This window comes from Homo sapiens, chromosome 8, assembly GCF_000001405.40.
Source record: "Homo sapiens chromosome 8, GRCh38.p14 Primary Assembly".
Classification (NCBI taxonomy): domain Eukaryota; kingdom Metazoa; phylum Chordata; class Mammalia; order Primates; family Hominidae; genus Homo; species Homo sapiens.
In genome coordinates this window covers 20,660,643-20,677,774 of record NC_000008.11, presented here as the reverse complement: position 1 = coordinate 20,677,774, position 17,132 = coordinate 20,660,643, and the positions used below count along the sequence as shown (strand labels likewise).

General features: G+C 42.3%; 1 long non-coding RNA gene across 1 annotated transcript in view; it reads right to left on the bottom strand.

Annotated features, from left to right (window-relative positions):
- LOC105379315 (uncharacterized) overlaps positions 1-12,939 on the bottom strand; it is a 283,462-nt gene extending 270,523 nt beyond the window's left edge. Inside the window, exon 1 of the long non-coding RNA XR_949569.4 lies at positions 12,869-12,939. This is a non-coding gene — a long non-coding RNA (uncharacterized LOC105379315). The remainder of the gene's footprint in view (positions 1-12,868) is intronic.
- Positions 12,940-17,132: the final 4,193 nt, after the last annotated feature.

Below are 17,132 nucleotides of genomic sequence, written 5' to 3'. Positions count from 1 at the left end.
GATTACAGGCATGAGTCACCACTATGGCCAGCTTTATTCAGGTTTTTATGCATGAGGAACTAGAATTCTGCAGAGGACAAAGGTCTTTCTCAAATTCTCATGGTGAGTTGGGAGAAGAAGAGCTAGTGTTACAACTTCTGCCTCCCAGAGCAGTGTCCCTTATGACTCCTGGCAGACTTCCCTGGCCTCTTCCCTTGCCTGTCCTCAACAACTTCATGCCCAGGCCTAAAGCTCACAGGGTCAATCTCAGTAGCTGGGATGGATATCCCAGCACACACCAAAGGCCTGAGATCCTGACATGGTTCTCACTTGGTCTGTGGGACAGGGACAAGAGTAGAAAAGGTCAACTGAAATTATGCTGCAAAGTGACCCCTGCCCTCTGGAAGCTTCCTATTTATTTCATCTTCCTACTTGCTCACACCGGGAATCAATGACCTGTTGGGTTTAACACATATCAGCCTTGAGGCATTCCTGTATTTTTATCAGTCTTAGTGCTTTCCTGATACTATAGTAAGTTTTGTTTTGTTGTCCCTCTTCCCTGTCTAGGCATTTTGTCTCCCTGGCTGGAACTGTAAGTGAATTCAAGTCAGAGGCTGTAAAATGTCTGTATTTTTAATTCCCCACTCCACCCTCTGTGCCTGGCAAGGCATCAATGACTCTTTATGGCCGAATGGATAAATGCCTCCCTTTGGCACCACACCTGCCTTGCCTGACTTCTCTGGGATGGTCCCAGGAAGAGTTGGGTTTCTCAGGGTTTGAGTGGAGGCCCCTGCCCTCAGGGAGCCTCTGCACATTGGATGTAAGGAGTGTCACTCATGTTCTGTCTCCATAGGGGCCACGCAGTCCCTATCTCCTGATCCTGGAATCCAAGGCCTCCATTGATAACTGGAATTAACCTTAGTAATAAACCTACTTGTTATTTGTGGATAACCTGCTGGATATCAGGCATTGGGCTACACTGATGGATTTTATGTGATCTTTATAAAAACTGCAGTGAGTGATCATGCCCACTTTATAGCTACAGGAACAAGCATGGGTAAGAACTTACCCAGGGTCTCACTGCAAGTAAGCGAGAGGTAACTAGGTCTGCCTGAAGGTGAGCCCATGCTCTCAACTCCTCCCCATGTAGGGCCTGCAGGCTCTCCCCTCCTGCCTTCAGACATAATCCTCCTCACCTACTGGTCTCCCTGGGTCCCTCCACCAATGGTGAGGTGTTACTGTCAGTCATGGGAATGGTTCCCCCACAGGTGCAAGGGGGCTGCTTCTTGTTACTTCAAGGTCTGCAAAATGCTGGCTACCTTTCCTCTCATACAATCCGGTCCCTGCTCAGTCCTCACTATGCTCTTCCCTCCCACCAGCCACCGCTCCCTCTAGTCACCAAACTGCTCTGTCAGCAGCTCCTGACAGCTCAATAGAGGGCCCAACACTGCTTCTTCCCTTTCCTTCCCAGGCATTATTATTTATTTTTGCTCTAAGTCATATGATTATCATAAAGGCAGGTCCCTGCCTGATGTTTCTATAAAATACTCTTATATCTTCAACAAAAAAGTGGAGAGAGAAGCCTCCTCACTTTAAGAGGTGATTTCCGCCTGCGCTGATGCAAAGTCAGATGGCCAAGCCATGCACTGCTTAGACATTCAAGCCTGACCTCAGTTACGAGGCAAATGGAAGAGAAAGTAATTAATTTCTTTAATGGCTCAGAAATATACCCAAAAAGAGGATGGGGGTGGGCAGTGCTGAGTGTTTACATCAGCAGGTTTGGGAGTTTAATTTCTCTGTATTCATTAAGCTTTGAGATCCATCTGACATGCTATGTTATAATACAGTGGCCCGCTGGATGAGGACTATTATCAAGTTAGAAAATGATAAATTAGAGAGACAAAGATTATTTGTTTCTTGAGCTGCTGTTTGAAAATTCTGGGCATAGATTTCTGTTTCAAAGGGTGAAAAGGTGAAGATATTTGTTTCTCCCCGTTAGACAGTATTAAGAAGAGAAAGTGAAATGTTTTCCCCCAACTACTCTGACAATGTCATTCAGCAGGTACGCCTCGCTCTGAATCCCAGGACTTCCTCTAAGATTGATGACACTGGAGAGAGAGCTGGCCTAAGCTCCCTGGGGCTTGACTCTTTCCAAGTGCTCTCGCATCAGGATTTCTAGAAGTTATTGATGAAATGAGAAAATTGCAAGTCTCTTGCCTATATTTCATTTCATGTTTAAGGCAGACAACGCAGTGCAGTTGGAAGCATGTGTAGTGGAATTCAGTCCCAGCCCTGCCATCGACTGCTATGTTGAATTGACACAACACTCAATATCTCTACGCTCTCTCCCCTGTTAAACAGGAGTACAAATATCTTGCAAGAGGGTGGTGAAGGGTTAAGAGTTTGCCTGGAGTATGTATATATACCTCTATATAGCTCAGCACAATCCCTGACACACAGTAAGGTGCTCAAGAATTGCACCTGATTTCTGGCCTCCCTATGCTGGGTCCTGGCTCCTTTCTCATGCCCAGCTTGAGTCTCGGGATAGTAGTTGGCCATCTCCTCCAAAACAGGACATTAAAAATCGTGCAGATTTCACTTAGATTTCATAGGGCAAGAAGAAAGAGATTTTACATAGCACACAAAACAGCAGAACTGTCATGAAACTTTCCATCAGACATTTCTAAGAAGGCTGCACATCACAGTCTATGTGATGGTGGCCCTGGAGATGTGAGGTGTACATCCTTCTGCTCTTGCCTCTGTTCTTTCCCCACAGCTTCTCTCCTAAAGGCAATGATCTCATATCCTCTCCCCTTTAGAGAAGAACGTCTAAAATCATTTCTAGTATACCATCCCATCAGCATTGGATATGCCTTCATACTTCACTAATAAATGGCTCAGTAATTGATCCAAGGACACCCATCTGTTGTTCTCTGCTGTCCTTAGGGTGTCCTCCCCTCACCCAGTGGTTTATCAAAGTATTTGCACAAGACACGCATGTCCCTTAAAGGAGAGTAGTGAATCTGGTGGTATTGGGAGTATGACAACATCTGAGAAAAAATGTTTTCCATATGGCTCACTCATACCCACCAGAGAGGCACAGAGTGTCTGTTTAAGGACTGCAGGCTGATAGAAGGAATCTCTGCAGCACTGAGCTCTGAATGCGGAGACAACACCTCCAAAAGCAGATGAGCTGTTCTAGCAGGTGCAGCAACAGCTTCTCAGGGACCCACAGCCACTGGGCAAAAATGGCCCAAGGCTTGTGGCCCTAGGCATTGTGAAGGGAGTACATATCAAAGTTGGGTCTGTAATCCATTGAACCTCAGAACCATGTAGCATTACAGGGGACTCCTTCAGTTTACAAACAAGCTTGTTTGCTGCTGTTTTGAATAAACCTCAAAGGAGAGAATATATTTGGAAATAAAAAAATTTGGAATGTTTATTTTGTATAAAGAGAATTTTACCCTCCAACTGCCTTTTTGTGTATCTGATTTCACTTTCTTTTCTCAACAATTCTGTTAAGTTTATTGTCACTATTTTATGGAGGAAGAAAAAAAAAGGTTCAGTAACTTGCCAGAGGATATATATCCAGTAGGATATCCCAAGCCGAGTATCTTTCTTACAGTCTTACAAGTCTTACAAACTTAGAGAGCAAATACAAGTCTAACAAAGTGGTGTTTGTTATGTTAGTTTTCTAATGCTGTGTAATTGACACCAGCTAAGCCAGTAAGGACAGCACCCATTTATCGTCTCACAGTTCTGCAGGTAAGAAGTCCTGGGTGGCTGGACTTGGTTCTCTGCTTGGGGTCTCGAGGTGTCAGTAGAGCTGTGTTCTTTTCACAAGCTCACTCAGTTGGTGTGATGGTTAATATGAAGTGTCAACTTGATTGGATTGAAGGATGCAAAGTGTTGTTTCTGGGTGTGTATGTGAGGGTGTTGCTGAAGGAGGGTAACATTTTAGTCAGTGGACTAGGAGAGGAAGACCCATCCTCAATGTGGGTGGGCACCATCCAGTCAGCTCCTAGTGCGACTAGAAAAAGCAGACAGAACAAATTGGGATAAGCTGACTTGCTAAGTCTTCCAGCTTTCATCTTTCTCCCATGCTAGATGCTCCCTGCCCTTGAAAATCAGACTCCAGGATCTTCGGCCTTCAGACTCTTGGACTTACACCAGTGGTTTACTGGGGACTCTTGGGCCTCTGGCCATAGGCTAAAGGCTGCACTGTCAGTTTCCCTACTTTTGAGGCTTTGGGACTCAGACTGAGCCACTACTGGCTTCCTAGCTACTCAGCATGCAGACGGCCTATCAAGAGACTTACCTTGTGATCCTGTGAGTCAATTCTCCTTAAAAAACTCCCTGTCTTATATACAGATATCCTATTAGTCCTGTCCCTCTGGAGAAACCTAACACAATTGGTCATCAGAATTCAGATCCTTGTGGTTGTAGGACTGAGGTCACAGGTCTTGGCTGGCTGTCAACCAAGAGCTTGTCTTTCAGCCTCTGAAGGCTGCCTTCATTGCTCCTCACGTGCCCTGCTCTATTTCACAACCAGTAAGGGTTAGAATAACCCCTTCTGCCAAATCTGTTTGATGTCTTTTGCCTTTTAAAGGGCTCCTATGATTACAGCAGGCCCCCACCCAGATAATCTCCATATTTTAAAGTGAACTGACTAGGGGCTTTAATTCCATCTGCAAAATCCCTTCCTAGAAGCACCTAGATTCATGTTCAGATAACCAGTAGCAGGTATTTTGTGGTAGGAGTGGGGTGGGGCATCTGTAAAATTCTACCCATCACAATGGTTCTCCAACTTTAGTTCAGAATCGCCTGGATTGCTGGTTGTCAGTGTCAACACTTGGCACTATTCCTGGAGATTCTGGTTCCCCTATCTGGGGCAGATCTCAAACATCTTCAGTCTTAATAGGCTCCTTCTCCCTCTCCTGGCCCTACTGAGACTCTGATATGGCTCGCCCTAGACCATGTTTCCACAATCATTGTTCTACACTTAGCTATGCCTACAATAATTTCTCAAACCTGCCTATACACCAGGCCTCATCTAATTCTGCAAGTACTAACTCATTGAATCTTCACAACAAACACTAGTGAGTTTGATACTGCCATTAATTCAATTTTACAGGCCCAGAGAGATTAAGCAATATCTTAATATCACACAGATTTTAACTGATAGAGCTGGGATCTCAACTTGAGCAGGTGGGCTCCAAAATCTCTGTCCCTAACCATTATGCTCTACTGTAAATTAGAACACACCTTTGTTGCATGAGACCTGAATAAAGTACAGACCAGACTAAGAACCAGCTCAGAAGACCATTTTTCAGGTGTTACTGACATCTGGTGTGGGTGGGTGTGGAGGAGGATTTTAAGGTGACAGGATGAGAGGGATTGGTCAGAACAATTCCAGACCATCTCAGATCAGCCACATGCCCATCCCTGGAAAATGCTGCAGACACACACTTACGTCGTTTCTGATGGCTGCTTTACTTAGCTTCTGGTTATGATCCTTATCAAAACTTATGACTGGGGATGACTGTAGGGAAGCAATATGATAAAGAAGGTGCTTATCCTAAAGTAGCCAGGTTTTCCCAGGATTGAGGAATCCGTGCTGTCTGCAAGGTTCAAAGACATCCTCCCATGGGACACTGACCAGAGCATCAGCTCAAGAACTGGCCTCCTTCCCTGACAATGGACAGGGATCCAACATCACACGACTGCATCTAATGTCGTCATCATTCACTCACTTACCTCCACGGGACTTGCACAGTCCCAGCTTCCCCCTCATCCATGTTAGCAGGTATCATCCCCATTCCTCTCACCACAGCACAGCAGTGGAACAGGGGCTAGGACTTGGGGTCATCACTCCAACAGAGCTACTCCCCCCTGCATCACATGTTTGCTGAGTAGTTCTGATTCTTTTGGTGACAACATCAGGGTGCTCTTTAGCTGGCAGGGCCACAGCCATGTGGCTCAATATGTGGCCTTGGAAATGCTAACAGCTGTCAAGAGACTCCCAGCTGAAACCCACAAGCTGGCCCAGACCTGGAGCCTAGGTAGCGGGTTCTTGGGTACGGCATCCAGCCCGCACGGGGACCCTAGCTAAAAGGACCAAGGGCTCTGCCCTCCCGACTGCCCATTCCCAAATACCGCACAGCGTCACTTCGCAGGGGGTCCACACAATGTTCTGCCTAGTTACAAATATAAAAAAATCATAACTTGAATAGCTTTAAATTCATCGTGATGTGATAAATGATCTGTTATATTACACAGTCTCTGCAGGGACTCATCTTTAAAGAGCCAAGTCCCACTACCAAATAGTAATTAGGAAGGAATCACAAGCATTATTTACATCTCTTTAAGACTGTGAAAGGGATCTAATTAATAAGCCACAGTAACTCTTTTTAAAGCCCTTTCTTCTACTACCCAATTCTCTCCCATCCTACAGAGCCCTCTGCACACAAGCCCTAGAACTTCCCCCAGAGCCCCAGCTGAGCGGCTTCTATTCTCTTTCTCTCCTTCCCTTCTCTCAATTCCTTATCGTATAGGTCAATTTAGCATCTCTATCCCACCCAACCCCTTCTATCTCCCTTCTTGGGCCAAGTCTCTTTCTATAGATTATGACAGATTTAGGAGTCTGCTGGCATAAACTTCACTGTTCCCTAGTGAACAGTAAAGGAGGTGTGTGTTTGTGCAGTGGCAGAGTTGTACAGGTTTGGGGCTGGGGAACGGAGCACTAGCCTAAGAGAAAAGCCAATCCCCGTCTTATTAATATAAGTGAAAAAAAGAAAAAAATTAAGATAAAACAAAAGCTAAGTAGAATACAAACTGCAATGCATATTTATAGCTATAATGCATGTAGCACTTTGACACCTACTATTCTATTTGGTTCTTACAGCTTCCTTATGAAATTGCTCTAGAAAAGATGCTTAATCCACATTTACCAGGAAGATAGTCCAGGGAGCTAACAACTCGTTCTGACTTGGCTAAGAGAGACCTGGCTAAGAAACTTCCAAATTAGTAACCCTTTTAGAAGGAGAGAGGGTGAATGCATTCAGTCATATTTAGAGAAGAAAGTGAATGAAGAAATCCTGGGATTCAGGAAAACAATCAGAAAATGAAAGCAATATTATAGGCATGATTAAAACTCAAATGAATGAACATCCCAAGAAGAAGACTGTCCTGCCTCACACACCTCTCACACACCTCTGGCCTTACTGCTCAACACACTTTGCTTTGGCTGCTTGAAAGGCAGAACCACTTCCTGATCCTTCCAGCTGCACCTACCATTCAGGATATCTCAGGGAAGAAGGAGGCAGGACAGCTAGGAGAGGGTCTACATCCAACCCCTATTTTGTGCCCTGTCTTTCCAAAGCAGCTGTGGCATAGTCCAGCTCCTCCATGCCTCCATCCTTTCCTTCCCTGACCCACCACACACACACAGACGTGTGCACACGCACACACACACAAATTTGCTCGTAGGATCAAAGAGGCTTACATGCACATGTCTGTCACCAAGGATTGAGGCCAATTCATAATTCATGCCTATTAGCACTTTGTGTCAAAATTAGTACCTGGCAGCACCAAAAAGCTTGAAAAGTCTCTTTATTGCTTCTTGACCCACCTTCACCAGCTCTCTATGACACCCCCTCACCAGCTCTCTATGACCCCATCCATCTGCTGGTGATGAGCTTCCATCTATCTGCTTCTAAGCCAGATGAGTAGGGACTCCTTCCCTGGCACAGAGGCAGAGGGTAGCAATGAGCCAAAAACCTAGACTCCAGTGTGTGTACCTGCAGAGCCCTTTAGGTATACTGTATATGTACTGTAGAGGATACCGGGCTCTACGATGACATGAATGGGCTACTCCCTCTGCAGCTGAGAACAACAAAACCTAACCAGGTAGAAAACCACTGCATTTGCTACAGTTAATCATCTATCATCTCAGATTGTGGTCTGCACGCCAGATGACTAGTACAGAAATTTTTTTTATTTTATTATTTTTTATTTTTTTATTTTTTTATTTTTTACTTTTTATTTTTTTTATAGTACAGAAATTATATCATGGAGGAGCTGAGAAGAGACCAAGCACAGGTGGGCAACTGGCTTATCTGAGCCTTAAGTAAGAGCAGAATTTACTGCCAGGAGAGGTGGGAGTCTGGGCAGGATGATCTTTGTAATGACCCAGACAAGGGGTGATGAGAACGTAAACAAGCAAAACAATTGTAGAAAATCAAAGAACTGAGAATAGCCAGGTAAAGTTTAGTACAGAGCCCAAGGGGACAAGGATGTTGGTATTGGTTAAATCATTGTATTGTCTGAGGTGGCCAAGAGTCAAACGCAATCTAGAGGGCCTGTCTTCAGGGAGGGGGGACAAATAAAATGTGTGGAGGCATAGCATCTCAGCACGCAGGAGTTCAAAGCGATGAGCTAGATGCCTTCAGAGCAAATGTAGCTAAATCTAAATGGAAAAAAATTAGAAGCAAAATAAGGCCTATTACCAAATATTGCTTATGTCAACCAAAGCACATGAACATACACAATACTAGAAGAACACATATCCAGCACATCAGAGCAGGTGTCCAGGCAGGTGAGGGGAGTAGGAATGAGAATCAGGGACTGAACAGGGGAAAATAAATGGGAGAGGAGCCTTGTGGTGAATGATGTTGATAGTGCTAAGAACTGAAGTGTGTGATTAACTCAACTCTGCATGAGCCCAAAAGGGAGATAAATAATTGTATATATGCCTATATAAATTTATGCAAACACTGAAACATACAAGCAATAGTTTGGAGGGCATTATGAAGAATTGTACACAGGTGAAGAGCAAAAGAAAGAGAAATGGAAAAGGACACCAGGTGTTGGCAGCCGCGTGACTGGCACTGCTCTTGCCTCCAAAATGAGAGTGGCATCTTCTTTCCTTCCAACTTCAGTTCTATGAACACTTGTCTTGACCAGTAACCATATTCTAAGAAAATAACCTTTGTCATTAGACTGATGGGTGTATGAGTCACTTATTACTTTCTGTATAACACAGAAAATTTTTTAGCCAATTCCTTCTCTGCAAAAAGGACCGTAATATTTCACATAGTGCTTAAAGGACTTCCATGAGCTAACAGAAGTGGAAGATCTTCATACAGAATTTGGCTCAGTACATAAAATGTTTTTTTCTGATTGCCCTGGAACCAGGGACCTCAGGTTTTGGCCAATGTCCTCTGAGTGGCCAGTAATAGAAATGAGAGCAGAGCTTTGTGGAGGACAGTGACAGCCTCAGCTCAGTTCTGGAAGCTTCTGCTTTTCTGGAGGAGGACAGACAGAAATAACCTACTGGGCTTGAAGCAGACCCTCATCTCCTACTTGGCCCATGGGAGGGCAGCATCCTCGTCTGGCTGTGTGCCCGAGGTCCAACAAAAATCTGCTCAGAAAGGCTGGGCTCCTTTATACCCAACGTAGCTGCACATTTTCATCTTTTTTATGTGTTTGGGATGTTACACTAATTGTGATGGATGTTCTCTTTGTGCTCACGCTGAGGGGCGGATGATGAAGCCATAATGTAAGGTAATATGTCTATTAAAGATTTAAAATAACCCGCCTGCTAGAAGATTCCTCACTCCTCTGGCAGATTCAAGCTTCTTGGGAAGAATTTGACTCTATATTAGAGAGGGCGATAGGGTGGGAGGAAAGCAGGGGACCCAAAGGATATTCTGTAACTTCTGGGGGCTAACTGGTCTATCTTTTCCTCTCTTAATTAAGAAACATCTGCTAAGCACCTAATATATACCAAGCTTCAATCCTGGCTTTGGATACACATGGATGGTTAATGACTTTGGGATCTCTTAATTTAGGAGAACTATTATCTGGACTTCATGAACAAAATCACAGTACTTAAAAGTCACGAATTAATTATCTTCATCTCTGATGCCCAGATGGACATTACAACTCTGAGTTATGGGTGTGTCATTAGAAGTGATTCTTGGAGCAGCCTGATCCCCAAATTACAGAAGCAAGATGAAACTTGGACTCATAGAACCAGGTGATCTCCCAGCCACATCTATCTCTAGCAAAACAAGAACCTTAAATAAAAACCAGGCTGAACTGTGGTATCTTCTGCATCTATCTCCTCATCCTGTGGTCTCTATTTTACTGAAGAGGAAGAAATAGCAAGAGGTGTGCCTTCACCCCAGCTAGAACCTCAGGGCCATGTGGCCATGAAAGCCAACAGTTTCACTGCTGGAGAGACAGCATGCCAACAGACAAACTCACAGGAGAGCACGGTAGGTGAAGACCAACATTCCAAATATTAGTCCTAGCTCTACCACTTATCTCAACTTTTCTTTCGGGGCTCCAAAATCCTATGACTACACTTTGGGAGGCCGTGGCAGGTGGATCACAGGGTCAAGAGATGGAGATCGAGATCACCCTGGCCAACATGGTGAAACCTTGTCTCTACTAAAAAATATACAAAAATTAGCCGGGCGTGGTGGCATGCACCTGTAGTCCCAGCTACTCGGGAAGCTGAGGCAGGAGGATCGCTTGAACCTGGGAGGCGGAGGTTGCAATGAGCCGGGATTGCACTATTGCACTCCAGCCTGGCAACAGAGTGAGACTCCATCTGAAGAAGAAAAAAAAAATCCTATGACTAGCCACAAAAGTCTAGCTTCCTTCCACTGTGGCTCATCACCCATGACTCCCTTCATTGCAAACCAGCCCCTGCCTGCACTGTCTCCTCTTGCCCATCCCTACCTCTGCTCCTTCCCTCTTTCAGGCCTCTGCCTGCAATGCCTGCCTCTCTCCCATCTACCTCCAGAACCCTGTTTTAGCTTATAGATAGACATGATGAATGGAGGAAGATAAACAATATCCCACCCTATTACCTATTGAAACTAACATCGGTAACAACATTTTCATCATCAGTAACCAAAAATAAATAAGACATAATCTTATGTCTTAAATTTTGAGTAGTGGTTGCCAAGAAAATCAAGAGAATATTTGGGTTGGGCATCGCCCATCAGAAGTCCTAACTCCATGCTTCATCCTTCATGCACCCAACAGGTCACATGAGGCAAACAATGTTGTTAATAAAAATCTCAAGAATACAACCCCATTTGAAAAGACATAGAATTAAAGTGTGAGTATGTAGCCCTGGGCAAAGATAAAGACACATTCTCTGAAAGAGAATATCCATTTACTAATGCAGTAAAATCATCACTCCTAACATATTTTGAGTATCTACTAGGTCATGACAATAACCCAGCACATGCAATATTCTATTTAAGCCTCAAAAATCCCTGTGATATTATTAGCTGCAGGGTGTACATAAGAAAACAAGGGCAAGTTAATCCTAACTGACATTCCATTTTAGTAGAGGCAGAAAAACTACTTGGATTTACCTTTTTTTTTTTTTTTTTGATTATAGTCTAAATTAGGGAAATATTCCAAAGCACAGGGTATTTCCTGACATAAGTAAGATGTACCCTTGATCAGATTTGGTGGTCTCAAATGGTTTATTTTTTGAAAATCTCAGAAGACTAGGGCCCAGATTATCTAACAAACTTTCTCACAGATCCACCTCAACTTTTCAACTGGCTCTGAAGCACTGGGAAACCGAAAAGCGGTAAGAACATAATACCACTAGACTTTGGCTAAAGGGGAAACCAAAACTGTCTCAATAAGATAGGAAACATGTTTAGAAGCATTTGTCCCAATGTACCACAGCAGTCAGAGTTCCCCATCCTTACATGAGCAAGAGGATGAGGTGGGCATGTCATGGTGGTTGTGGAACCTATCACAGGAAAATCCCGAAGGAAAGCATGGGCTACAGGAGACAGAGAAACAACTCGGCAGAAAACATAACCCAAGGAACAGAAGAAAAGTTCTAGCAGGTGGTTCAGGCTATGGAATAACTTGATAATATTAATAACATGAATTATCTGTTTTATAAAGGGCTTTAAGACAGCATGCCAAGAGAACAGAATGAGAAGAAAAGAGACATTGCAGAACTAAGGGAACTGATTGAGGACCACAACAATATCATTACAGAACGAATAATTAGAGCAGCCAAGAACAGAATAGACGTGACTGAAATTTTAATTAAATCCTCAAAATGAAATTCCTCAGTGAATGCAAAGGGAAGGAAAGGGGAAGATAGGATGATTGCGGATAAAGTAACAGATATCAAGGGAAGACAGAAATGATACAACATATGGATAAAAAGTGTTCCTGAAATAGAGAACTCAAAAAATACAGACAAGAATTATTCAAAGATATTTTAAAGCTAAATTTCCTTAAATGAAAAAAGAACTGAATAAAAGGGGTAAATTATAAAAGCACATCCATTCACAGAAAACACTTATACAGAATGGCTAAACCCAAGAGATATCCTGGTTACATTCTTGAACTTCAAGGATTAAGAAAGGAATTATTTAGTTATACTTGCAGAAAAAGGAAGAAGAGAAACCAAAGGTGTCTTCAGTTCTCTCCAGAGCAACATCCAGTGTCAGAAAAGAAAGGGGCAATACTTCCAAGTTCTGAGGCGAAAAAATCATGACCCAGGAATATTATACACAGACAGAAATCCTAAACTATAAAATGCCATCACAGTTTGATTTGATGAGGTCCAGCACCCATCCCACCTCCTCAATGCAAACTTCCCTGACCACTCCAGCACTCATCAATCTTTTTCTACTCTTATTTCATGTGTGTCAGTCTCTTCTCTTAGGCTATGCTACGAGCTCTGAACTTTCTATTGTGGAGAATACACACACACACTAACAGTCTGGAAACAGTTTGTTTTGGTATAATGAAAATGCTCAAGAAACTGTAAAATCCTGTACAGATGAAAGAGACTGTTATCATTGGCTGTGATCCAAATCTTAGCTCTTACCATTCTTCTGTCTCTTCTCTCATCATCCTTCCTCTCATTATTCTTCCTTTCCAGAATGTAGATGTGGATAAATCTGTAAAGAAACAGGCCAGTTGGTTATTTTGTTTTGTTTTGTTTGCATATGAATGAACTGTGGCTCACAGAGGTTAAGTGCCTGGCTTAATAAGGTCATAGGCAAGTTAGTAGCCAAACTGAGATTAAGACTCAGCTCTCTCCATTTCTTACACAGGATGAATGATTCTGGAAAGCCTCCAGCATACCTTTCTGCTGAAGATAATAACTATCTGAGTCAATTTTGAAGGCTGAGGCCAATATATTGCACAAATACAGCTAAGCACTTCTGTGATCTGTATGATCTGATGTGGTTGTACTTGTTAAAATGTTGAAATGCCTCTAAACCAGTTGATAAACAGCCACTGTCCTCTGGGACCTTCCAAGTTCCCCAAGATCCAATAATCACAATGGTAGTGCCCAGCATAGGAGGGGACCTCAGGGCTCTTTTGGAGTGCCACAGCCTCTGGACATTTTGATGGGTGATTGCCCAGGCTATTTAATACCACGGTCACTAAATATTGTGAATGTGCCCCTGCAGACACACAGTGGATGTGGAGATAGATGTGGCTGTGGGCATATAAGGAGATAGGGTTGGAGAAACAGACAGAGTGAGACCTCAACCCCATTCTCTTGTCCCTAAACCTTTGTGGTCTTCTAGGGACATGGCCTTGAACACAGGGGCTCTTCTTAATCTGAGATCTATTCTCGTGGCTGGAGCCACTCTAAATGTGCTCAGGTAACAGGCACTTTCATATTTTCTCTGGGAACATAACAGAAAGTCCCCTGTCAGGGAATTCACATTGCAATAAATTTCAAAAAGGTAGAAAATATTAGGACTCATCCCATAAAGTTCTGTTATTGATCGATGAACACAAAAAGTACAGAGGATGGCTCCGGAATGTGTGAGCTGGTGTCCTCACACACACACAGTGCTGTCCACACTGTGTGTGCTTACAAAATTCCCAAGTGTACCATCTATTCTAACAGCTTCAATTAAAAAAAAAATCCTATTCCATTCCTTTCCAAGAAGTGGTAGAATAAAGGGTACAGGTGTGAATTTCCAGTAAACAGAGTTCTTATTGTTAAATGTTATCAAGTTTGTAAGTTTGTTTAAGCAATTACAGCCAGAAAAGTAAACAGTTTATAGTGTATTCTTTAGAAATGTTCATATCAGGGCTGATCAACAAGTGTTGACAGATCTCCAGATACTTCCACTTGGCAATCCCATTTGAATCCAGAACCATGTTGGAAGGAGCTGACTATGGTGGGGAAAGCCTAGAAGTTAGAGAAATAGGAGGCACCCTTTGGGAGTGTTCTAAATCATGGTCTTGGGCATCTCCCAATTTGTACAGCCAGATAGTGAGGCACTGAGGACATTTATAGGACTTGTTTTGGGGATCTGGGAAGAGAGGGACCCAAATGATTTATCCCCTCAGTAAACACAACCTCATCTCTTCATTCCAGATATTCACTAGACACTCATGTTTAATGGTTCACCTGACCATTCAATTTAATAAGTATTTTGGTGCCTATTTTGTGCAAGAGAATACATGGTGCTGTGACTTTGTGATGGATAACTGTGTTATAGTCCATGGTATTGCTGGATTTAAATCTATAAAACACTGTGGCTATGGTCAATATCTGATTGTTTCTGAATCTGTGGTTTATCTATGACTCAGAAGAAAGCAGTTATCTAATTAGAGAATAAAAACAAAAACAAAACAGAATGAGAAGAAAGAAAGAAGACATCAGAAGCTGAAGAACCAGAGAGTGAAATAAGGAGGCCAGAACTGGACAAAGAACTGTGGTCCAAAAAAGAAAGAAGAAAGAATTAAGATAGAGGTGGGATGAGGTAATGCATGGAGGCTGAGGAGCTCGGTCTGTCCTGATAAGAGTTTCAGACTAAAACCATAGAGGTCACCCTTTAGCAAGCCTGGGACTCATGAAGGCCTGATGTAAAGAGCTAGACTAGCAAGGTCAGCCATCTGTAGAGAAAGAGCTTCTTCACGTATGGTGAGCTTCAGTTCAGGAGAGCCTCAAATGTCCTCTGGAGCTTCACTCTCCATCTGTAAAATGAGGACCAATATCTTTCTCTGGTCCATTCAGTAGAGTCTTTAGAAGTAGCAAGACAATGGATGCCTGATCAATTGTTAAATACATGAGACTGGTCTGATTACCATCCTCAATTGCCTGAAACTGCAAGAGAGATTAGTTTTATTTAACAAGAGACCCCTTTTAAAATGCAAATATATTTCACTCAATTAAAGAAATCAAGTTTATTCTTAGTTTTTGTGATAGGTTTGCTTTATAAAGTATCTGCAAACACTGAGTTAGCAAATACTGAGCCATTGTTCCTAGGGGAAATACAAGGTAAGGTTCCTGCAAGCCTGTGATCATAGCCTTGTTGTCAACCCATCAACACATAACCTTGTTCTATGTGTATTTCTGTTTAAAGACACCTTTCTATATTTATATTTATATATAAATATATATATATAAACATTGAACTCATGCCAACAGCACTGTAACTAATGCATGAACAAAACTTATCTAACACATATTTTTTTCCATAAAGCACATTACAGCCTTCTTGCAGTTACAAACACTAGACAGCACTTTAGCAATCTACTTGGAGAGCAGTTGAAACAGCAAAATTACCAATGAAAACCGCAAAAACATGAAAAACATGACACCAAATAGACCATGAGAAGACCCTCTTTCATAGTATAAGAGCTGAAGCAAGATAGCAGAGCATCACCTTGAACCCTGAGCTGGGAACGTCTGTGCCAGCTGACTCAACTTTTTCACCACTGTGTCTGTCTCTGAATGTCCACAAAAGTAGAATATGTGAATTTGGGGCTTATAAATAAGTTCTATCAAGTAGGTGAATTTGCAAATACAGAATTCATGGATAATGATGATCAATTGTATTCACTGAGCACTTAATATTTTTAGACAATATCCAGGCATTAAGGTTATGACAATGACGACAGACTATATATGTGTGTGTGTGTATATAGATATTTATATATACACACACACACACGTATTTATATATTTATATATATAATGTATTCATATATTTATATACTTATATACATTATATATTTATATACTTATATATTTATATTTATATTTATTATACAACAATCAAGACAGACTATATATGTGTGTATATATATAATTCTCTAATAAATATAAATATATAAGTATATATATATATATATATATCCTTTAATAAACCACATATTTAGGGAACAGAAAAGACAATACATAAAATAAACACAAAAAAGTTGAAAAAAATTGCCCTGAAAAAATTCAGCATGGTAAGAGGAGTGCAATTTAAAACTGGATATTCAGAGTAGACCTTAAATACAGTGTGTGTTTTGAACAAAAATGTGAATGTGGAGAGGAAATGAGCCTTGCTGTTACCTAGGGGAAGAATGCTCCAGGCAGAGGAAGCAGCCAATACAAATGGCCTGAGCTATTGGAGGAATGGGCTACAGCAGACTGAGAGGAGAGTCACAGGAGGTAATGTCAGAGAGGTAATGAGTCAGATTGTTGCCCCGTGCAGGGTATAGTATTACTAAGTACTTAGGCTCCAGATAAAGTGACCTGGAGAGCCATGGCAGGGTTTTAAGCCTTGGACCATGAGAATGGCTCACTCTGGTTATCATATTTAAGAATAGACTATAAAAGGATAGGTATGAATTAGAACAAAGAAGCCACTAGGAATCTATTACAAAAATCCAGGCAAGATGAGAGTGGCAGCAGAAGAGTTGGTGAGAAGGGGCCAGATGCTGGATATATGTTAAAGGAAGAACTAACATGATTTCATGAAAGGTAGGATGCAGAATCAGGGATGGCACCTAGGTATTTTAGCCTATTTTGATGGACGGATGGAGTTGCCATGAGCTCTGATAGAGAAAAGCATGGCAAAGAGGGTGTGGGGAAACATCATTTGGACGTGTTAAGTTTGCTATTTCTATAAGACATCATTGACAGAGCAGGAGCATCGCCATCTTGGACAAGCCCCTCATCCTAAAGTTTGCCTTATTAAAAAACCACCTAAATCCAAAGGGCATCGGTCTAATGGCTAAGGTCATTATGACCATAAACGACAAATAACATCTCCAACCAGAAACATTCCAAACTCCTCCCTGACCAGAGACATGCTAGCCTCAAGACATCCCCCTCCAGCCTGAAAGAT